The 24589-nt window shown below is 40.2% G+C and overlaps 1 long non-coding RNA gene across 1 annotated transcript in view, besides 4 other annotated features; it reads right to left on the bottom strand.

Moving 5' to 3' along the window:
• LOC107986623 (uncharacterized) overlaps nucleotides 1-24589 on the bottom strand; it is a 324476-nt gene that overhangs the window by 259212 nt on the left and 40675 nt on the right. The window lies entirely within an intron of this gene.
• Nucleotides 17329-18133: an enhancer, noted in NCBI's record as "H3K27ac hESC enhancer chr6:91388246-91389050 (GRCh37/hg19 assembly coordinates)". NCBI's record gives its function as "activates a minimal SCP1, AML or CMV promoter by ChIP-STARR-seq in primed H9 embryonic stem cells {active_cell/tissue: H9 hESC(primed)}" and the evidence as "EXISTENCE:reporter gene assay evidence [ECO:0000049][PMID:30033119]".
• Nucleotides 19443-20396: an enhancer, noted in NCBI's record as "OCT4-NANOG-H3K27ac hESC enhancer chr6:91385983-91386936 (GRCh37/hg19 assembly coordinates)". NCBI's record gives its function as "activates a minimal SCP1, AML or CMV promoter by ChIP-STARR-seq in naive and primed H9 embryonic stem cells {active_cell/tissue: H9 hESC(naive and primed)}" and the evidence as "EXISTENCE:reporter gene assay evidence [ECO:0000049][PMID:30033119]".
• Nucleotides 21353-22307: an enhancer, noted in NCBI's record as "OCT4-NANOG-H3K27ac-H3K4me1 hESC enhancer chr6:91384072-91385026 (GRCh37/hg19 assembly coordinates)". NCBI's record gives its function as "activates a minimal SCP1, AML or CMV promoter by ChIP-STARR-seq in naive H9 embryonic stem cells {active_cell/tissue: H9 hESC(naive)}" and the evidence as "EXISTENCE:reporter gene assay evidence [ECO:0000049][PMID:30033119]".
• Nucleotides 22308-23263: an enhancer, noted in NCBI's record as "NANOG-H3K27ac-H3K4me1 hESC enhancer chr6:91383116-91384071 (GRCh37/hg19 assembly coordinates)". NCBI's record gives its function as "activates a minimal SCP1, AML or CMV promoter by ChIP-STARR-seq in naive H9 embryonic stem cells {active_cell/tissue: H9 hESC(naive)}" and the evidence as "EXISTENCE:reporter gene assay evidence [ECO:0000049][PMID:30033119]".

The following is a 24589-nucleotide window of genomic DNA, read 5'->3' as shown; positions in this document are numbered from 1 at the left end:
GTATACTGTTTCTCCTTATTCTATTGCACTTTCTTTAATTTTTTGTTTCTTATCTGTTTGTTGTATCCTGGGCAGTTTCCTCAGGGCTATCTTTGAAGTCACTAATTTTAATGTTTGACCTACCCACTTGATTTTTTAATTAATGACTACTTTTTTTTAGACAGGGTCTCACTCCGTCACCCAGGCTGGACTTCAGTGGCATGGTCAAGGTTCACTGCAGCCTCGACCTCCCAGGCTCAAGAGATCCTCCCTGCTCCACTTCCCAAAGTGCTGGGATTACAGACATGAAGCCGTTGCACCCACCCAATGACTACCTTTTGTATTTTTTAAACATTTAATTTAATTCTTTTTCAATATGCCTATTTCTTTTCATAGAACCCTACTATTTATTTATGGTCTTTATTTCTTTTTAAAATATTTTATTCATTTTAAGCATACTTATTTTCTAATCATTTTGGGATGGTTTACCTCATGTTCTGAGGGTGCTAATTGTTCTGCTTATTATGGCTGCTGATATATCAGTCAGGGTCCACTCAGGAGACAGAGACCACATCAGTAATTCGAACAGGGACAATTTAATATCAAGAATTATTAACTTCTAAAAGATGATTAACACACAAAAAGGCGGGGAGTAAAACAGGATGCTAAAGAACATAAGAATAGCAAATGTAGAAAACAGCTATTACCTCTAGGGTTCAGGGAGGGTATACAAAGCAGAAGCAAATTTGGAAATGGCCGCACCCCTACTACAGCCAATATTGAGACTGTGTTGGAGAGGGTGTGGTTACAGCCCACTGGATGGTAGAGTTTTCTAGGATTACATGGGTCAGAAGTGTTCCACAGAAAGCTGCCACTGAGGTGCCAGCAACATTTCCAGAGGTACTGTGGGTTGGAGCTGGTCTACTGAAAGCTGCCTGCTGATGTGTGAGCAGGTCAGAGCTGGCAAGCAAAATATTGCCCACTGGGGTACCAGAGAATTTCAGTGGAAGGTGAGCTCCACTGGGACTCCCACACACCACTGAAAGCTGGGCCTTAGGAGGAAGAAAAAAGACACAAGAACCAGGAAGAGAAGCCCCCTCCTCCACTGTGACCTGAAGGGCCCACCAGCACCCTGTATTAACAAAGCCTAAGATTGCATCAGCTGGCAAGGAGCCAAGCTCCATTAACAAGAATCAGGACAACAAAGGGCAGATTTGGATCTGAGAATCAGTAAGTTGATAACTGTCACAAATGACTTTTCTCTTGTGGTAAATCATTTCCTCCTATGGTTTGTAAATTTTTATGCTGAATTCATCTTCTCACGAAGGATTCGTTTTTCTGTGAACGTTTCCTTAGGGTTACATATCTTTCTAGGGAAATTTTACATTTATTTTTCTTCCAGATCTTCAGTGCTTTCTCTGGTCACCACTAAATTCTTATATAAATGTATTGGCTTAGCTGGGAGGCTGCAGCAAGTGGATCACTTAAGCTCAGGAGTTCAAGATCAGCCTGGGCAACATGGCAAAACCCCATCTCTATTTTTTTTTAATTTATTGGCTTAGGATTCTCACACAATACAAACAGAATAAATATCAACCTCAAATCTATATGTGGCACAGCCTTGTGACTTCAGTTTTCACGGAAATCTTTTTCTATTCCTCCCAGAACCTTGGACAGCATCCTAGCTGCGTTTCTGCACTTAATCCTTTTGGTGGATTTCCTATAACCATGTTCTGTGTGTTTGGAGCAGGGCAATAAGAAGGGGAGCTAGGGAGAGGGAAATGCCAGATTAGTCTTCTATTTTGTCATAAGTTGAATGCCTACCTCCCTCCATGTCAAAACTCTTTCCAGACTTGTCTTCTGTCAATAATCTATTATATGTTGATGACTCTCAAACCTATACTTCTAGCCCAAACCCTCTGTTAAGATTCATATCTACACATCCATCTTTATATATAAATCTACAATTGAACATCTCACAGACACTTTACATTTCTATCCCAAACTGCACTCATTGTCTCTTCCCCCAAACCTGCTTGTCTTCCTATATTCCCTATCTCAGAGAATGATGTCCCCAGTCCCCAGACCTCCAAGTCAGAAACACAGTCATTCAGGCTTCTGCCTTGCCTTCCCCAACATCCAAAAAATATCACAAGTCTTGTAAATGCTATTTCTTTATACTACTAGCCCCAACATCACTTTTTCATATCCATAGCCTTAATTCAGAAAATGCACTTTTTGCCTCCAGTCTGACCCTATACCAAGGCCTTCAGAGTCCTGCATGATCTTGTCCTGCCAGTCTTTCAGATCTTAACTCTGCTGCTCACTTACCATGTTCCAGACACTGGCCTTTCTACTCCTTGAACACAAGTTCATTTACTCCTTAATTCAGTAGAAATTTCATACTGAATTTTATAGACTCTATAAGATCAGTACTACTCCCATTTCACAGGACAGAAAACTGAAGTTTACAGAGGTGAAGTAATTTGTCTACAGCCATCCATCTAATAAATGGACAAAATAAGATTGGACTTCAATAATTTGATTCCAGAACCCCTGTCTTTTTTTTTTTTTTTTTTTTTTGAGAAGGAGTCTCACTCAGTACTGAGGCTGGAGGGCAGTGGTGCTATCTCAGCTCACTGCAATCTCTACCTCCCGAGTTCAAGCAATTTTCATGCTTCAGCCTCCCTAGTAGTAGCTGGGATTATAGGCACACACTACCAAGCCTGGCTAATTTTTATAGTTTTAGTACAGACGGGGTTTCACCATGTTGGCCAGGCTGGTCTTGAACTCCTGACTTCAAGTGATCCACTTGCCTCAGCTTCCCAAAGTGCTGGGATGACAGGCGTGAGTCACCGTGCTCGGCCAGAACCCATTCTTTTAACCACTGCACTCTCCTGCCTCCCAGATTCACCTCAGTTATACAGTCAATTAGGAAGCTGTTCTTGTGGTCTGAACAGGTGACCATGAGAATGGTGGTGAGAAGAGCTGGGACAGACATTTCAGAATAAGATATGACAATTCAGGTCAATTAAATATAACAGTTATCTCAAGATATCTCAACTTCAAATGTTCTATCCTGTGATCCATAAGGGCATTTGCATTTTACAGATTATAGGTTCATAAAATGCGGTCCTTGTAAATATAAGGCATACATAAAAATCAATAAATAAATCCTAACAGTAGCATTGAGTAACCCCAGTATTCCTTTTATATGATCTTATATAAGATTTATAACCAATAAACATTTTTATATGGAATAATTATGCAACCACACACATACACACACTCACAAACACACATCCTCAATATGCTTAGGTCTGAGTTTGTTTTTACACATGCCATAAATATTTTGAAACTTAAAATATTTCAATTAAAAGCAGATCATGTACACAACTTTGTTTAAAAGTGGACTTCTCTCCAATTATTCTTTTACTTAGTAATCTCCAGTCTTTTTTTGGCTTTTAGTGTCAAAAGATTTATATACAATAGTAAAAGCAATTGAGAGGATGTCTAATTGGGGCTTGTGTATACTCTAAACGTCCTTTCAATCACTTTATTATTGTGTATTGATCTTTCCACATGAAAAGAATGAACAAATTCAAGACACCACCTCCTCTAGAAGTAGCCACATCCTAATTCTTGGAACTTGTGAATATATTGCATTAAGTGGTAAGGGGGAATTTAGTTTCCAGACAAACTTAAGGTTGCTAATCAACAACCCTGAAATGGGGAGATTATTCTGGATTTGCCGATGGATCCCATGTTATCACAATGGTTCTTAGAAGTGAAAGAAAGAGAGGAGAGTCAGAGTCTGAGTGAGGCTGAGAGAAAGATTCTCCGCCAGAGCCTCCAGGAAGCATCGCAGCCTCTTCTGCACCTGGATTTTAGCCCTGTGAGACCCACTGCAGGCTCTGACCTCCAGAACTGCAAGATAATACACTGGCTTTGTTGTGAGCCACTAAATTTGTGGCAATTTGTTCATAGCAACCATAGGAAACTGATATGCCCTCCCCCACCGTTTGAATAGGAGGAAATTTTATACTTTAAGCCCTAAAATCTATGTTCAAAATAATTTTAAGGGTGATTTAATTGGTTTTATTTGTTTGGATATGCATCCACTGCCTGCTCAGATTGTCAGGCCTCCTCTGTGATTTTTCTTTTGTCTGTAGGCAAATTGCTCCCCAGGACTATGTCCTGCAGCTTCACAGTCAGAATTGCTATTTTAAGATAATAATGTCTCATTCATTCATCCAATCAGTCAGTCAGTCAACAAGCATGTATACATACCTCCAGCCACACCTTGCCCCTGAACCACAAACACAAATATCCAACTCATGGTCAGCATAGCCACGGAGACGCTCAATGGACACTTCAACTTAATATGTCCCAAACCGAACTCCTGATATTCCTCCCAATCTGCAAGGTCCAGAGTCTTCTTCATCTCAGTTGATGCAAAGCCCATTCTTCTACTTGCTCAGGTCAAAATCTACAGAGTCATCCTTGACACTTTTCTTTCCCTGACACTTCACATTCCAACACATCCACATGTCCTGCCTGCTCTACATTCAAAACGTGTCCACTTCTTACCATCTTGCCTATCCATCCAAGCCACTATTTCCCTCTCACCTGAGAGACCTTATTTGGTCTCTGGCTTTGCCCCCTGCAGGCTGTTTTCAACACAGCAATCACACTGATAATATTTAAAATGTAAGCCTGACCTCTTCCCATCTCTGCTCAATACTCCTCAATTTTTCTCATCTCAGAGTAAAAGCCAAAGGCCCTGCTCCATCCCTACTGTCCCACTGCCCTCATTTCTCTGACCCTCTGCTTTAATCACTCAACTCTAGGAACCCTGGCCTCCTCATTCCTAAGACAAGCCACACATTTTTGCCTCAGGGACATTATGCTTGCTGCTCCTTCTTGGCAACTGATTCCCTCAGTGAGGCCTCCCTTTCCACTTTACCTAAAAGATCAACCCAGCACCACTTACCCCTTCTCCTGTCACTCCCTGCCTAACTTAACCTGCTTTATTTTTCTGCATAGTACTCATTGCCACCTGACATATTGTATATTTACTTGGTTTGTTGAATATCCAATTCCCCTCAACACCACTAAAGTGTAAGCTCTATGAAGGCAAGCACTATTTTTTGTTCATCACTTTATCGCCAGAATCTAGAATTGTACTTGGCACTTAATAAGCATATATATGAATGTTTGTTGAATAATAAATCACTGTTCCAGGACCTAGGGATACAAAGATGAATGAAACACAATATTTGACACTGAGGAATTCACCATCTAGGGCAGCACTGTCCAACAGAACTTTCTGTGATGACGGAAATACTCTCTACCTGTGCTATCCAATATGGTAGCCACTAGAAGCATGTGGCTATTGAGCATTTGAAATGTGGCTGGTATGATTGAGGAAGTGGATTTTAATTTTATTTTAATTAGTTTAAATTTAAATAGCCACATGTGGTTAATGGCTGCCATATTGGATCACACAAGTGTAGAGGAGGAAATAGATACATAAACCCATAATACTGGTAAGAACACAACCTAATTACTGTCATGGTAGAGATGTACAATAAAGTGTCATGGGAACCCAGAGAAGGTAGCCACTAATTTTGTGTTTAGTCTCCTCCACTAGACCAGCCAAGACATTAAGTACTTTTCTCTCATATAACTTTACATTCTTGTAATAATAATAATAATTATTATTATTATTATTATTTTGAGACAGAGTCTCACTCTATCTAGACTGGAGTGCAGTGGCGCGATCTTGGCTCGCTGCAGCCTCCACCTCCCAGATTCAAGTGATTCTCCTGCCTCAGCCTGCAGACAGCTGGGATTACAGGCACCCGCCACCACGCCCAGCTAATTTTTGTATTTTTAGTAGAGACGGGGTTTCACCATGTTGGCCAGGCTTGTCTCGAACTCCTGACCTAAAGTGATCTGCCCACCTCGGCCTCCCAAAGTGCTGGGATTACAGGCGTGAGCCACCATGCCCAGCCTCTTGTAATTATTATTTAATGAAAGCTGGAACTGTGATCATCCTCAGCTACTGACAGGAGGCTTTGCACATAGTAGATGATCCATAAATATTGGTTTGACTGAAAACTGAGATGGTTATGGGAGGATTATAGAGGAGGTGATATTTGAGTTGGACCTTAAATGATGAGTAGGAGTTTGCCAGGGCAAGACAGGAAAGAAGGGATGTGAGGCAGCGAAAGCAACACACGCAAAGGCAGGGGGAGTCCTGGTGCTTTTATAAGTGGAATCAGGAGTTCAGTGTGGTTGTAATACCTATATAAAGGTGGATGTATTCAGTTCTCACTGCATGACAGTTCAAGTTAGACAATGACTTCATAAGTAGGAAAACCCAAAAGCCAGTGTTAAATAAAGAGTCGGGCAATTGCTTAGTGAATTGTGTCAAAGTAAACTTAGTATTTTAAGCATATTCAGCCCATTACAGCCCTTTAACAAGCACAGACTAAAGTTTCTCTAACTTTTCCCTGATCTAGAATATTATGACATTTCATCTTGTGAGGAATTTAGAGATTATTTAACTAAAACTTTCTTTGGTCAGATGAAGAAATTAAGATCCAGAACGCAGAGCTAATTAATTCAGAGTTGGGACCATAATCCAGATGTTTTAGCTCACAGTCTTGGATAATTACCAACACACAGTGAATACACAACCACGTTTCTTCCTCTCACCTGACACAAAGCAAGCTTCTGGTACCAAAATGTATCTGTTTATAACCTCCAATCACCACAAAACATACGGGAAGAATGTTCCATCATAAGTTATCTGTCCATGTATGAAAAGAATCATCAAGGTTGCTCAATAAAATGCAGATACAACAACCAACCATTAAAGCCTTAAGAAATAGTAACAAACTTTGAAAAATTTATTTTCATACTGCAGTGTAAAATGAATTGCTATCTTCACAAACACAACAGGGTATAAGAACTGTATGGTATATTAAAATGGCATCCATACTGTAGGTCTGGTTTCCCATCCTGAAACAACTGCTCACTAGCTAGGTTACCTAAGGAAACTAGTTAACCTCTATGAGTCTCCATTTTTAAATTCCTACAATGTAGGAATTAGGTCTTCAAGATCCTTTTTGGTTCCATGGTTTTCATGTTATTTTGCTGAGTTAGAAAGAGAGGAAAAGCAGCAGAACAAATTCCCACTTGGACAGAGGGTCATTTATGCTGCTTTACTGCAGTCAGATCAACAATCCTACTGATATTTCTTCTCTCAGTTCCTAAATCTGTCAGACCATGCATAAGTCACCTGTCCCAAAACAGGAACTAGTATTACAGCCTTTTCTATGTTCTGCATTTGATGTGTGTTCCAAAAATGTTGACTAATTATTGTCCCAATGTCTTACCTACCTTGGGCCAGCACTCCAAGATTCAAACTCATTCTGTGAGTTCTCATGAAGTCTCTTCCTTTGCAAGCTGTGATGTCTTCTTCACCAAACTACAATCAATTTTTTACATTAAAAATATATTGACTTCCACAGACAGAGATGGGATAGAGGATATGCTTTATCTATCTTCGTATAGTCTTTCTTCGAAATCTCTGGGGGTCCTGAAGAATGACAAAGTCTAACTCATAACAAATAAGAAGAAATAGAAATAGTTTATTGCTACGGAAGCAATTATGTCTTCCTACATGATATGCATATATGTGGGTCCCCAGACAGAATCACCATGGTTTATCTTTGGCTGTTTCAACCAATGAAATTGAAAATATCTCCTGCTTTTCAATTAGGTTCCACCTTTCATGCAGAAACACAAGTAAAATTTTTTCCTTTGACTAATTTGTTTAAATATATGTGATGCTGATCCCTACTTTCTTGGGCTATTCAGCATGTGCCTGAGCATTCACAGTATGTCTTTTAGATTATGAAAATAATCTTCTCCAAGCTCAATTAAGAACAGATGGTTAAAAACTTCAAGTTAGTATTTGCATAAAAAGATCATCTTACTTTGACACTGTAAAGTTTTATATTACTGTTAATTGTTTTCCGCGAAAAAAGCACCCCCTCCCTTGTCCAGAAGATAACAAGAAAATTTGGCTTATTTTTTTACTGAAAGGAAAGCATTTCATGCAAAGGCATTACTGGGGGGAAAAAGTAACACAAGAACATAAAACAATATGGACATACTGTCAATAAAGGTGTCACATCTGCTCTGATGTATGGGAAACTTACGCTTAATCTGATAGTTAGACATTAGCCACCTCACCTTCTCAGAATCCAGACCAACCCAAGTAATCCAAAAAGCCTCTAAGCCAAGATCATGTGCTTTATTAGAGAATTTTAAAAGTACCCTTAAACTAGGGCTTGTTGACTTACTCGCTTCTACAGATGAAGGTAAATCAAGCTTACTGATATGGTTATCTTATGTGGTAATTTTATGTTCCCATTACACTTCTGTTCTTCCTGCTCTGATTCATAGACTGAAGGTTGGATAACAGATTAGCAGCTTGTGAACAAGGTGATAGAAACAGATAGGGATGAACTATTAAAAGCAGACATAAAAATGGTGTTGTCAAATCTTCAACTAGAAAAATTCAACAATCTGGTCATTACAAGTGATTCATGAAACACAAAATAGCTCCTTCTGTAGAGGCAGCCTTAGATCATCATGTTTTACACCACAGAAATTTATCACCCAGACCACAGCTGATTGGAATAGGACTGGTCACGTGACATAAATGTAGCTGAAAGTGGCTGAGCAGTGAGCTTCAAGATAACCTGATCTAAAAAGCTTTGCTAGAAACAAAGAAAGGTCCAATAAGATTCTTGCTAAAAACAAGGAATGTTCCAATCCAATTCTACTTCGAATAATTTGATTCAAACAAATGGAGAAAAATCAGACTGTTAGCAGTGGGAACTAAAGCTGAGAAGATACTGTGAATTAGATCCATGAATGGTCAGCAGCAAAGCAAAGTCATGCAGAAATCAAAGACATAAAGAAGCACAAATCAGGAATAAGCAAGAGCTGTGATGTAGGTAAGGTATAAAGGAGTGAGTCAATGATATATTAGATGAGAGGAAATGTGACAGAGACTAAACAAGAGGAGATAAACTACGTTAACAACAGAGCGCTGAAATGTAGATTCTACTGTCAGGATCCTTAGAACTACTTTAGACCTATATCCAATCTTGTGTCGATTTCCTATTCTTGCATCTCCGAGACTCTATCTCTCTTAAAATTTATTCTTCAAAAAGTCCCCATTTACTTAAGCTAGCCCAGAAAAGGCCTCATTCCTTGAAATAAAAAATACTAACATATTCTTTGTCGATAAAATTTAACATACTATTTTTCCATAAACTCTAGAGTTTTTATCATTTCTCTTTGGTTTGTTAGAGTTCTTAACATATTGTCTATATGAAGAGTCAATAATATATTGACCTCTAAAAATAAAAATAATAAATAGTCAATAATATGTTTATCATTTGCCTTTTAACAGATCAGTATGCAGCATTTATTGAACAGTTATTGTGTTCCAAGCACTATAAAAAGCACTTTACAGAAATTATCTCACTGAGTCTTCAAAATAACCCTGAGATGAGAAAGTTTGGCACACAGAGTTTAACACATTTGCCTACACCCATTGAGCCAGATAAAACCCAGCTGTGCCTGACGCTAGAGCATGCTCTTGACTCTAAGCACCACCATTCCTCTTTTGTTTATTATTTTTTAAATTATTATTTTTTAAAATATTTTTACAAACATGCATAACATAAAATTTACCATCTTAACCATTTTTAAGCGTACAGTTAAATGACATAACGTACATTGTTATGCGACTATCACCATCATCCATCTCCAGAACTCTTTTCATCCTGCAGAACTGAAACTATGTACCCAATAAACAATAGCTATGCATTTTCCTCTCCCCTCAGCTTCTAGCAATCACCATTCTACATTCTGTCTCTAGGGATATAAAGAGAATCATACAGTATTTGCTCTTTTGCAATTGGTCTACTTCACCTAACATAGTGTCCTCACTGTTCACCCATATTGTAGCATGTGTCAGAATTTCCTTCCCTTTTAAGGGTGAATGATATTCCATTGTACATATATACCACAGTTTGTTTATCCATTCATGTCAAGGGACATTTGGGTTGCTTTCATCCCTAAGCTATTGTGAATAATACTGCTACGAACACAGGTGCACAAATATTTCTTCAAGTCTCATCTGTCCATTTTTGGGGATCTATACCCAGAAGTGGAGCTGCTGGATCATATGATAGTTCTATTTTTAATATTTTAGAAACCAACATACTATTTTAGACAGTGGTTGTACCATTTACATTCCTACCAGTAGCACACGAGTGTTTTCATTTCCCTATATCCTTATCAATACTTGTTTATTTTCTATTTTCTGTTTATTAGCCATCCTAATCGGTGAGACAACATTTTTTTCTTTTGTGTTTGAGTGTGTTTAAAATAAAGAAGTCTTAAAATTGATATGTACATAAATTATCTGTCTTTATCTTTAAGACTTTAAGTTCTCGCTTTAAAAACATCCTTCCCCATCCCAGTATTATATAAATATCTATTTCTACTACATTTTCTAGTACTTTCTTAATATATCTGAGATTAATCATACAAAGTTGACTAAACATTATTTTTGGTCTTAATGATTAAATAATTGTCCTGCCTTCATTTTAATAATCTATTATTTCCTGACTAACTTGAAATTCCACATTTACTATATGCTGAATACTTATCTATATTGGCATAAATATCTTGGCTATATATTGTGTTTCTATACCACAAAACACTGTTGATTACTGTAGCTTTATAAGGCATTAAAGTACTTGGTAGAGACTCCCTTCATTAATCATTTTTATCCAAAATGTTCTAGGTAATTGTTTTACCTCCAAATAAACATATGAGGTGTATATGGAGGTAAAACAGTTTCACATAACTTAATTACCTACCAAAGATATCACCACATTACAGAGTAATATATTTAATGTTCTTAATTATAAATCAAAAATTTATCATAAAAAATTTAAATATGCTTCACAGCATTGACATAAATAAAGCAAAGAAGAATATGATCCATTCTAGTGAGATTTATTAAAATACTAATAAACTGAATCTTCAGTTCTTCAAAAACTAAGGGACAGAGAGATTATAATATTAAGTATCCACCAAAAAAAAACCCTGTTAAGCACAGGAATGCACTGGTAAAAATTGGGTTTAATTATAATTACCACTTAAGAGTCAATAAAGCATCATTCCCAGAGAGATAAGATACCCAAATCCCCAAGTACAGTTGCACTTCCTTTCTTATCAAATCATCTGAAATTATTATATTCTTCTGACTGTATCTTCTCTCCACTATCATTCATTATATACAGTTGTTGGCTGGTTCTCTCAGGTTGCAATGATAACTATGATGCCCTTCACGATTTCAAAGAACATCCACCCACCCTTTTATGGCTAGAGATGCCTAACTATCACACAGCTTGTATTATAACATCCAACAAGATCTTCTTTCTTTGTCTCTTTGCCACAGGTCTAGTTCTCCAGTACACAGATGGCATTAAAAAGAGACTACAGAGGAAACTACACAAGTTGCAGTACACGCTTATCTCAGGATAGTGTGATGGAAGGCTCATTAACCAAGAACATTTGCAGTATGAGGCGCCAACATCCATTTGTATTATATTCAGCAAAAAGTCCACCATAGTAGCTTTCATTGACACAGAAGCTAGAAAGCACCTTGAGCAATATATTTTTTAATAGCATATTGTAGCCCGGAGAAGGCAAGACTGGCAGGACAATGGCAGTGTTTCAGAAAGCAATGGAAGCCTGCATCAAGCTAATGACAGCAGGAATAGAGGAAGGTGTGATGCCAGGCTGAACATGAAGAGAAAGGCAGAAGATTTCTTAGATAACTCCCAAGATAATTCTTAGGTTACTTACATATATTAGTGCAGTAAGTGTTTGATAAATGAATGAGAGAATGACTATTCAAAGTTAGGTCCACGGACTAACTGTCAAGCTATTTATTACTAACCCACATAACAGGATAAAGAGCTTGCTTCAGAAAGTAAGTGAATTAGGTCATGAAGCACATTGTTTAGTTCAACTGACTTCTTTTTTTCCATAGGAAGATTGTGTGAAGGAAGCAGTACATTGGTACATTCTCCCATAGCCTCACCTTCATTAGGAACCAGCAGTTTGACAGCATATGTGGTTCTGTTCAGATCCTAAACAATAGGTCACTACATTTGATTCGGCTGGGGATCCAGAGGCAGTAAAGTCTTCTGACAATATCTGTGATATCAGTGCTGAACAAAGATGCTCTTAGTGCCAGGGTGAGTCTAGGGCAGACTTTTGGAGCTGGAGAATTGATGGCTCTAAGGAACAATGCATTTGACTCTTACGAGCCAGTTCCTGCCTTGAGCTCAAAGAAATGGCTATGCTGATATTGCTATGAGCTAGAGCTGGATTAATGATAACTATTGTAATTGCACAAATGGTAAATTGGATCTCATAATCAAATGGCTGTTTAAAAGATCTCACTCACCAAACTGAGAGTATTAAAAAAATCACATATAATGAATAGCTTTGGTCATCTGCAGAACTTTTCCTGATGGTTTGTGAATATAAAATGGATATGAGAAAGTCATCCTTCAATTGATACATTCAGCTGCTTGTATCAAAAAACCTAAATTAAACTGGCTCCCACAAAAAGGGAATTTACATGAGTGAAAGTCTAGAGGCAGGCTGGGCTCTGGCCTTGACTTAATGCAATGACTCTGGCCCCATTTCCATGCATTGCTCTGTGTTCTTCCTTCTGCCATGAGGCTTTGTCTTCAGATTGTCAGAAAAGTAGCTTTAGCCATTCTGGCCTTACACCCATACTCTTTCTATGGCTCCCACTTAAAAGTAGGGAAACTTTTTCCAGAATAGCCCTTCTGCCAAGTTTACCTTCATATCCCATTTATCCAGACTGTCATAGCACAAATTCTTTGACCAAGCCCTCCAGCCAAGGATATGCTATGGGAGCTTAAGCCTCACATCCTGAAAACGGTACTGGTGCTGGCTTGGGAGTAAGGCTTTACTGGGATTTTCATAGACTAATTAGAGCTCATCCTTTTAGCTGAAATCAATGCCCCAAACCTCCTAGCTGCTGCAAAATGGATGACTCAAAGCCCCATGTTCAATAGAAAGTCCAACCCAAGCCTCATTAAAGAGCAGACGACCTACAATGTAAACTAATAAAGATAAATAATAATTTAGAACATTATAAAATGAAGTAATGTGACAAGAGATGTTTTTGATAATAGATACTTCCAAAAGAGAAAGATTGCCTAAAGAGAATTGAGAGGTTAGACTGTCTGTGTGTCTGAGTGTAGCAGTGACCAAGGAAAATTATGTTGTGATTCTAGAAGATGGATTCCAGTAATTTAGGCAGAAACAACCGCAGGGCAGAGAAGGATTAACTCCAAGTTAGGTTAGCCTGAGGAGACTTCCCTTGGGCAATACCTAATCTTTTTGTTGTAAATTCTATGCTTGCCAAGCAACCTTCTGAATTATTATTTGTCCTTCTGAGTGACTGACCCCACAAAAAGGGAATGCCTGGTTGAAAAAATGCTCCTGATTTTAAAAATAAGTTCTATTTCCCATGGTAAATTGGGACTGTGGTTTATAAATCATTCTCTTTTGTATTTTATTAGAGAGAAACTATCCCTCAAAGTCTGTTCACTGTGACAAAATAATAGAAGTGAGATCTTGAAAGGGAAAAGCTAAGACCTAAACCCAAGACCCTAATGTCTCCATCAAGGTATAATTCCCAAGAGGCCTGCCCTAAATCTGCCAGCTGCCTTCTCCTTACCTGGGAACTAATGTGAGAGCAGCCCAACAGAAAATCCACCAAGCAATCTCCTAATCCTTAATTGAACAGAGGGCTCTGAGAGAGATGCTTAAACATAGGGGTTATGAACCAAGTTTTTAAGATCAAAGAAATCTGGGGATAAGTCCAGGCTCCTCCTACTAACAATGTGACTATGGGCAAGTAGTTTAACCTCCAAGATCCAGTAACTCCAATGATGAAATGGTGAATATTTAATAGAGTTGTTACAGTGATTAAATAAGACAAAATTCACTAAGTGCCTGACATGTGATTAGTGGGGTTTTGTTTTGGTTTGGTTTTTGTTTGTTTATTTTTAGAGATAGGATCTCACTTTGTCACCCAGACGGGAATGTAGTGGCATGATCACAGCGAACAGCATCCTTGAACTCCTGGGTTCAAGCAATCCTCCTACCTCTGCCTCTCAGTTTAGCTGGGGCTACAGGCACATGCCACCATGCTCAGCTAAATTTTTTTAATATTTTGCAGAGACAGGCTCTTGCTATGTTGCCCAGGCTAGTCTTGAACTCTTGGCCTCCAGCGCTCCTCCTAGCTCAGTCTCCCAAAGCACTAGGATTATAAGCATGATACATTCCACCCAACCTTTTCTTTGTTTTAGTTTTTGTTTTTAATATTGTGGCCCTTGTGTCAATATTATGACTTCTGCATTTGACTGAAAATTGTCTGCTAACTTTGTCCAGTAAAGTGCTCCATGATAAACAAGGGCTCAGTAAATGTGCCTGAGCGAGGCCACTGAAGAAAATGAGAGAAAAATGTAATCTGAGAGGGCTCTGTAATTTGCCACATCCAATCTTACTCCAGATTAACTCAGTGTGAGACCCAGCATAGTCTGACTATTGTCTGCTTCCTAATCAAGTAGCAGTATAGCTACACAGCTTGTATTTATTTCTGAATTGTTAAGGACAGCAACCTAGATAATACCACAGAATATTAATCTAAAAGAGTGAGGAAACTGTGTTATGTGAGGAATCATTAAGGAAATTAAAGTATACTTACTTTAGAAACAAGGAACCAAGAGAGAAAAAGTAGGAAATGTTAGCCTTCCTCAAATATTTAAAGGACTATAATGTAGAAGAGAGAATAGAGTCCATCTACATTTTACTCGTCTGTCTCCCCAGCAGATTGATAAATGCCTTGAAGGAAGAGAATGTGTCTCATCCATCATTGTATTCCCAGAAATCGACTTGATACTGGGGACATTATAAATACTCAATAAGTGTTTGTTGATTGAATGAGAAGACAGATGGAAGGATGGGTGGAAGATGGGATGAATGGATGATAGGATGGAGAGAGAGTGACAGATGGATACATATTATTTAAACCATTATAAGATGTTAATGCTAGCATGAACACTGGAAAAGAGACATTGAGACTCTAAAAGAGAAAGGATTTCCTTAAGATCACTCACCTAATTTGTGTGAATGCTGACTAGACCAACAGAAGCCATGATATCAAGTTCAGTACCCTTTCTACTACCTTTCTTTCTATTCAAATCTGATAAACTGAGAGGATACCCATTATAATGTAATCCTGGTGTTGGACTCTTATGGGCTGAGTTGTAACCCCCTGAAAATTCATATGTTGAAGTCCTAACCCCCAATATCTCAGAATGTGACCTTATTTGAAAGTATCACTGTTACAGACATAATTAGTTAAAATGAGGTCATACTGGAGTAGATTGAGCCACTAATACAGTATGACTGATGTTCTTATAAAAAGGGAAATTCGGACACAGACAGGAATAGAAGGAAGATGATGTGAAGAGACACAGGAAGTAGATGACAATCTACAAGCCAAGGAGAGAGGCCTGGAACAGATACTTCCCTTCCAGCCTTCAGAAAGAACCGATCCTGTTGAGACTTTGATCTTGGACTTCTGGTCTCTAGAACTGTGAAACCATACATTTCTGTTGTAAGCTAGCCAGTCTATGATACTTTGCTATAGCAGCCTAACATAATAGGCTACATATATTATAATTTATAACTAATACAGATAGATGGTAAGGCCAGAAGATAGGAGCCTGAGTTCATGATTCCTGAATCACCTCTGACTAAAAGCACTTCACTGCAGATATACCTACATTGGATTCAGAGTTGATGAAGAAAGGAAATATTTTTGTGTGTCAAACCACTGAATTTTGAGGGCTTATTTATTATAGTAGTGTATAGTTTATCCTCATGCTGCTTATAAAGATATACCTGAGACTGGATAATTTATAAAGGAAAGAGGTTTTATGGGCTCACAGTTCCACATGGCTGGGGAGGCCTCACAATCATTGTGGAAGGCAAACGAGGAGTTAAGTCAGAGCTTACAAGGCAGCAGGTAAGGGAGTGTGTGCAGGTGACCTCCCCTTTAAAAAACCATCGGTTCTCTTGAGACATATTCACTATCACAAGAACAGCACGGGAAAGACCCACCCTATGATTTGATTACTTACCACTACGTCCCTCCCATGACTCATGGGAATTATGGAAGCTACAATTCAAGATGAGATTTGGGTGGGGACGCAGCCAAATCAAATCAAGCAGCTAGCATTACCTAACACAGACTTTAAGTAATTTAACTGTCAAGAAATTTTAAAAGTTATTTTACCTGAAAACAAATATGGACATAGCACAAAGAACAATGTAACATCCATGATTTTTTTTTTAAGTGCAGGCTGGTCTCTAACTCCTGGTCTCAAGTGATCTGCCTGACTTGGCCTCCCAAAGTGCTGGGATTATAGGCATGAGCCACCACACCCAGTCCATGAAAACTTTTGGAATTAAAAAAAAAACTTCTAAGAAAATTTAAGTTTACAGAAATACATTTTGGCATAATTCCCACAAATTCTCCCCAAGATATAAATTTACTCTCTTCTGTATTTGGAGATAAGGTCTTTAAACAGGTAAGTAAGATAAAATGAGATCACTAAGGTGGACTGTAATTCAATAGGACTCGTATCCTTATAAGAAGACATTAGGAAGACACAAGCACACAGACAGGGAAGACCATGTGAAGATATCTACAAGCTAAGAGAAGTCCTCAGAAGAACAACCCTGCTGACCCCTTGATCTTGCACTTCAAGCCTCCAGAACTGTGAGGAATAAATTGCTACTGTTTAAGCCTGTGGTATTTGTTATGGCAACTCTAGTAAATCAACAGACTCAGAGCCCTTTCCCCCATGTAATGTGAGTTTAATGTATTTAATCCAACTGCTCTATATCACAGCACTGAAGAGGGCACTTTGCCTGGTGTACACAATGGAAGCCTATCACGATTTTTGCCAAGGACATTATACTTTACTATGTCCTCATTACAGCACCACATATCTTTCGCTTGAACCTCAAAAGAACCATGTGACATTGGTAAGACACATAGAACATGAAGGCTTAGGCTGATTTAGTGACCTACTGAGAAATACAAAGCTGGTAAGTGGTGGAGCCACCCAATTCAAAACCCAGCCTTCTAACCCTTTCTCTCTCTAAGAACAGCTGCAAAAATTTATTGAGCACATACTATGTGCCAGCACAATTCTGTGTACTTTACATTCACTATTTTATTTAGTATCTGCAACAAACACATGGGACAGGGGCTATCATCAATCCCCATTTTGTAGATAAGAAAACTGAGAATTCTGCAGGATAAGTGACTTGCCCACAATCACACAATAAGTGATGATATCAGGCTTTGAACCCAAGCCACCTCCCTCCAGAGACTAGATATTTAACCATGCACCTATTGCTCTAATTCATCTCGGTCTTCTCTTCATGAACCTCTTTCTACACGTCAACCTGGCATAATGTTCTCTCTTTTCAGCAAATGCTCCAGCTGTTGCTAAAATATCCACCCTCCACACCTCCTGCCTTGCAGAGCAGGTGCACTGGGCCCACCTCTGGAGTCAGGGACTTCCTGCCCTCTAAATGCAGGGGGTGACCCAGGGCTTGACATTTGATGTCAATGAGTGACAGTTTCTGATTAAACCATGTCAGAGGCAGAGGAGTTTGCGGCTACTGTATTTTTTCACTCTGAGCACTCAGTGGCTTTCCTCCTTGATTCAGGATCACAGCCAACAGGGAAGCTGAAATCCTTTCTGACAACGTTTGCTGGATTGCCACAGTGAATTAGTCCAGATCCCCATGGACTGCCTTTCTCTTTGTGCCAGCTTGTCACAGTAGCAGCAGCAAGGAGGGTGACCCAGTGCTTTTCGTCTAGACACATAGTCATCAGAGGCCCTCAGGGCTCCGGGCAAATTTACAAGCTTTTGAGACAAGGACCTGTCTGATAACAAAACCAACACCTGATAACTGACACCCTCAAGATAGAGAGTGGTGCAAAGAAACATAGAAGTGACAGCCTTCTCATCATGTCATTCCATTTCACCTCATCTACTTTTGCTTGGTTTCACGATGTCAGCTTCATATGTACAGCCCTCTTTCTAAGAGACTCGATTCACCTCTTTGACACCTGAAGTGCCCTTGCCAGGCCTTCCTCTCTGCCTTGGGGAAGGTGGTGTGTTCTCCTCCTCCTTCCCTCTACTGTTTTCTGGAGTCCAGAGTTCCTGCTGATCTCACCAGCAACCCCTGCAAAGGCCGGTGGAAAAAATCCTACAGCTCTCACCCCCAGAGGCCACCATGCTCAGAACAAATACGTCTAGGAAAAGGCCTGCAAAAGAAATCAGACAGTCAGGCGAAGGTCTTTGTTTCTGAGATCTTTATGTCCGGATTTCCATCCAGGTACAGGGAGGGCTACTACAAAGGGAGAAGTGCCTAAACAGGACATGAATATACATAGATGGTAGCCCTAATTCAGATCATGGAGAATAAAAAGTATCCCTCCTTGAGTTTAAAAAAATACTCTCTACTCAGGATGAGCAAAGTAAAGCTAAATGAAGGTCAAGAGTTTTTCTCTCTCTCTCTCACACACACACACACACATACACATGCACAGCTTCTGAAATCAACCATTTTATTTATGAAGTTCTTAGAATGCTGGATGACGTGGCAATGTGTGAATTCCTTATAAAATGCAAGTGACATGTGCAGAAAAGAGTTTCAGACCATTCTACCCAGTCACTCTGGCTGCACTGCAAGTCCGGGCTCGAGAACTAAAAATCTATCTCAGATAATTGACATTTATTTGATTGAAACAGCAGGGTGCCCTCCATCACCATGGGAGGAGACCATATGGAAGAACAGTGCGAGTGAAGATAATGTTTGTCTACTGAGTGTGCCAATGTGTTTAGAGATTATTCACAGGGCTCTGGGGACTCCAGTATGATAATGTTTCAGCCAAATTAGAATCAGATTAATTGCTCTAATCTAATGGAAAGACAATGTTTATCAAATTATTGCTCTTTTCACCACATGATATTGCAGTGTCATTATTCTTTGAGTTTAAAAAAGGAAATGAAAAGACTCTTGTAACACATCTGCTCAAGAGTTACATGATAGTGCTTTTCCCACTACACACGGGACTGTAATGCAGTTGGCAATTCTGTGAAGTAACCAATAAATTAAAGTAAAAGATCTGTAGTGGATAAATCTGCTGGAGTCCTATGATATCAGTTCGTATTTTGATAAGACTATCTAAAGTCAATTAACTTTTTCCAGATTTGAGAGTTTTTCTGCTTCATATTATGTATGAAGTGTTTTCCTCTATAAACAGGGAAGTGCTTTTTTAAAAAACCATAAGTGGCACTTACAACAAAATTCTAAAACTCCTTTTCAAAATATCAAAAATCAGCCCAGTTTTTTAACACCCAGAGAGGAAATGGAACTCTTAGAAACTCATAACTTGTAACGCTCTATGGATTTATGCAAGAGCGTGAAATCGTCTCTGCCTTATAAGACATAGAGGACTCCATCAGCTCCTCAGCACTAAAGGAGTTGCCCATCTCACTGCCTCTCTCTGGCCCACCATTTGCATCCCTGAGAATTCTCAGAGGTGTCAAGCACCGACCAGGTGTCAGTCTAAGAGGTACAGAGAGTCACATCCAAGCCAGTGGCCTCACAAAAAGGCACTGGCTATGAGTCAGTGCTTCCCAACACCTACTAGGCTGTAAGCCCAGCTCCAACAGGGAATTTGGGAGGGAGATAGAGAAGGAATTTTCTCCCATCTACATCTCCACAGGGTGCCCTGTTGGCCCCTGCAGAGAAGGGAAGAAGAATCAAGCGGCACAATTTGTATGTTCATTCGTGTGCACACTGATTATTTCAAAATAACAGCAGTGCAGAGCCTTCAAATGTCCATGAAGGCTGTTAGGAGATAACCGTCAGGCTTCCAGTGGACCACATGACAAGTCCAATCATCACTTTTTTCTTTTAGAGCCAGTACCCCTTTGGAGAAGGATCTTAGCAAACAGGACAAGACAGAGGATAAAAAATTGAAATTATTTTTCTTATCACTAATTCTGCATTTATGTAATACTTCTAACAGGAGACAGAAATATCACCCTCATCTCCCTTTTGTAGTTGGCTCTTCAGATTTACCGCTTACAAATCATTGATTAATATCTCTAAGGTTACCCATCCTCCTTCTCCCTCCCCAAACATGTGTCATATTCTCTAATTCAGACTGGCAAACTCATGTAATCACAGAGGCTAAACCATCTAGGTTGAGATCTAGAATACACATTTTAATTTAAACCTTGCTAACTTTTCCTCCCTTGTACTCTAAACTCATGCTTTCGGCTTGAAATTTTTAAAAAGACCAAGATTATACCTATGATTACTGAGTTGGTCTAAACAATGTCTCATATGTCATTATAGCCTACATTTGTCGGGTGTTGAGAAAAGGTTAGGCACACATGAATAGAGTCGATTGCTCCCTGATCTGTCGAAGCTCAAATCTTGCTGTGATTTTCATGTTGCTGCTGCAACAGTGGACTCCCCTGTGCTAAAAAAGAGTTATTCTTAAGAAATAAGTGAAGGATATCGTAGCTGTATTGATGCCTAAGAAAACAGTGTATGTTTTCCAAGACAAAGCACAGAGCTGTAGATCTTCATTAATTACAATGCACTGGAACAAAAGCAAATACAACCACTGTAATTAACAACGTGATGCCTATAACCCTTGTCTAAATGCTTTCATTTCACTATTATTTAACAGTAAGAGACTGATAAATTATTTTAATCCTTATTTTTGCAGTTCACTTTGGAAAGGTTGTATAACTCAGTCTGAGGCATATTCATACATTCATTTACATTTTTAAATACTTTCATTATCAAACTTCTTTAAACCCTACCCTATCATTAGAACTGAATTTCAAAACTTTTATTGTAAACTAAGTATTTGTAGTAACATTAAGGGAATTCACACAAATATTGTGAATGTCAGGCCTCTGAGCCCAAACCAAGCCATCGCATCCCCTGTGACTTGCACGTATACGCCCAGATGGCCTGAAGTAACTGAAGAATCACAAAAGAAGTGAATATGCCCTGCCCCACCTGAACTGATGACATTCCACCACAAAAGAAGTGTAAGTGGCCGGTCCTTGCCTTAAGTGATGACATTACCTTGTGAAAGTCCTTTTCCTGGCTCATCCTGGCTCAAAAAGCTCCCCCACTGAGCACCTTGCGACCCCGACTCCTGCCCGCCAGAGAACAAACTCCCTTTGACTGTAATTTTCCTTTACCTACACAAATCCTATAAAACGGCCCCACCCTTATCTCCCTTCCCTGACTCTCTTTTCGGACTCAGCCCGCCTGCACCCAGGTGAAATAAACAGCCATGTTGCTCACACAAAGCCTGTTTAGTGGTCTCTTCACACGGACGCGCATGAAATTTGGTGCCGGTACCCCAACACCTTCTCTCCTTGTCTCTACCCCTTCTCTGCTTTCCTGGGGCAGGGGCAAGTACCCCTCAACCCCTTCTCCTTCACCCTTAGTGACAAGTCCCGCTTTTCTAGGGTGCAAGAACCCCCACAATCCCTTATTTCCGCACCCCAACCTCTTATCTCTGTGCCCCAATGCCTTATTTCCGTGCCCCGACCCCCCTTCCCACTTTTCAGGAGGGTAAGAACCCCCGAACCCCTTCCCTCCGTGTCTCTATGCTCTCTTTTCTCTGGGTTTGCCTCCTTCACTATGGGCAACCTTCCACCCTCCATTCCTCCTCCTTCTCCCTTAGCCTGTGTTCTCAAAAACTTAAAACCTCTTCAACTTACACCTAACCTAAAACCTAAATGCCTTATTTTCTTCTGCAATGCCGCTTGACCCCAATACAAACTCAACAGTAATTCCAAATAGCCAGAAAATGGCACTTTGAATTTTTCCATCCTGCAAGATCTAAATAATTCTTGTAAAATAGGCAAATGGTCTGAGGTGCCTGACGTCCAGGCATTCTTTTACACATCAGTCCCTTCCTAGTCTCTGTGCCCAGTGCAACTCGTCCCAAATCTTGCTTCTTTCCCTCCTGCCTGTCCCCTCAGTACCAACCCCAAGCGTCGCTGAGTCTTTCTAATCTTCGTTTTCTACAGACCCATCTGACCTCTCCCTTCCTCCCCAGGCTGCTCCTCTCCAGGCCGATCTAGGTCCCAATTCTTCCTCAGCCTCTGCTCCTCCACCCTATAATCCTTTTATCACCTCTCCTCCTCACACCTGGTCCGGCTTACAGTTTCGTTCCGTGACTAGCCCTCCCCCACCTGCCCAGCAATTTACTCTTAAAAAGGTGGCTGGAGCCAAAGGCATAGTCAAGGTTAATGCTCCTTTTTCTTTATCCCAAATCAGAAGCGTTTAGGCTCTTTTTCATCAAATATAAAAATGCAGCCCAGTTCATGGCTCGTTTGGCAGCAACCCTGAGACGCTTTACAGCCCTAGACCCTAAAAGGTCTAAAGGCCGTCTTATTCTCAATATACATTTTATTACCCAATCTGCTCCCAACATTAAATAAAACTCCAAAAATTAGAATCTGGCCCTCAAACCCCACAACAGGACTTAATTAACCTCACCTTCAAGGTGTACAATAACAGAAAAAAGTTGCAATTCCTTGCCTCCACTGTGAGACAAACCCCAGCCGCATCTGCAGCACACAAGAACTTCCAAATGCCTGAACTGCAGCGGCCAGGCCTTCCTCCAGAACCTCCTCCCCCAGGAGCTTGCTACACTTGCCGGAAATCTGGCCACTGGGCCAAGGAATGCCCGCAGCCCGGGATTCCTCCTAAGCCACGTCCCATCTGTGTGGGACCCCACTGAAAATCGGACTGTTCAACTCACCTGGCAGCCAATCCCAGAGCCCCTGGAACTCTGGCCCAAGGCTCTCTGACTGACTCCTTCCCAGATCTTCTCGGCTTAGCGGCTGAAGACTGACACTGCCCGATCGCCTCGGAAGCCCCCTAGACCATCACGGACGCCGAGCTTTGGGTAACTCTCACAGTGGAATGTAAGCCCGTCCCCTTCTTAATCGATACGGAGGCTACCCACTCCACATTACCTTCTTGTCAAGGGCCTGTTTCCCTTGCCTCCATAACTGTTGTGGGTATTGACGGCCAGGCTTCTAAACCTCTTAAAACTCCCCAACTCTGGTGCCAACTTAGACAATACTCTTTTAAGCACTCCTTTTTAGTTATCCCCACCTGCCCAGTTCCCTTATTAGGCTGAGACACTTTAACTAAATTATCTGCTTCCCTGACTATTCCTGGACTACAACTATATCTCGTTGCCGCCCTTCTTCCCAATCCAAAGCCTCCTTTGCGTCCTCCTCTTGTATCCCCCCACCTTAACCCACAAGTATAAGATACCTCTGCTCCCTCCTTGGCGACTGATCATGCACCCCTTATCATCTCATTAAAACCTAATCACCCTTACCCCACTCAACGCCAATATCCCATCCCGCAGCATGCTTTAAAAAGATTAAAGCCTGTTATCACTCGCCTGCTACAGCATGGCCTTTTAAAGCCTATAAACTCTCCTTACAATTCCCCCATTTTACCTGTCCTAAAACCAGACAAGCCTTACAAGTTAGTTCAGGATCTGCGCCTTATCAACCAAATTGTTTTGCCTATCCACCCCGTGGTGCCAAACACATATACTCTCCTATCAATACCTGCCTCTATAACTCATTATTCTGTTCTAGATCTCAAACATGCTTTCTTTACTATTTCTTTGCACCCTTAATCCCAGCCTCTCTTCGCTGTCACTTGGACTGACCCTGACACCCATCAAGCTCAGCAAATTACCTAGGCTGTACTGCCGCAAAGCTTCACAGACAGCCCCCATTACTTCAATCAAGCCCAAATTTCTTCCTCATCTGTTACCTATCTCGGCATAATTCTCATAAAAACACACGTGCACTCCCTGCCAATCGTGTCCGACTGATCTCTCAAACCCCAGCACCTTCTACAAAACAACAACTCCTTTCCTTCCTAGGCATGGTTAGTGCGGTCAGAATTCTTACACAAGAGCCAGGATCGCACCCTGTAGCCTTTCCGTCCAAACAACTTGACCTTACTGTTTTAGCCTAGCCCTCATGTCTGCGTGCAGCGGCTGCCGCTGCTTTAATACTGTTAGAGGCCCTAAAAATCACAAACTATGCTCAATTCACTCTCTACATTTCTCATAACTTCCAAAATCTATTTTCTTCCTCATACCTGACGCATATACTTTCTGCTCCCCGGCTCCTTCAGCTGTAGTCACTCTTTAAGTCCCACAATTACCATTGTTCCTGGCCCGGACTTCAATCTGGCCTCTCACATTATTCCTGATACC

Source organism: Homo sapiens, chromosome 6 (genome assembly GCF_000001405.40).
Source record: "Homo sapiens chromosome 6, GRCh38.p14 Primary Assembly".
NCBI lineage: Eukaryota > Metazoa > Chordata > Mammalia > Primates > Hominidae > Homo > Homo sapiens.
This window is presented reverse-complemented; position numbering and strand designations above follow the sequence as displayed.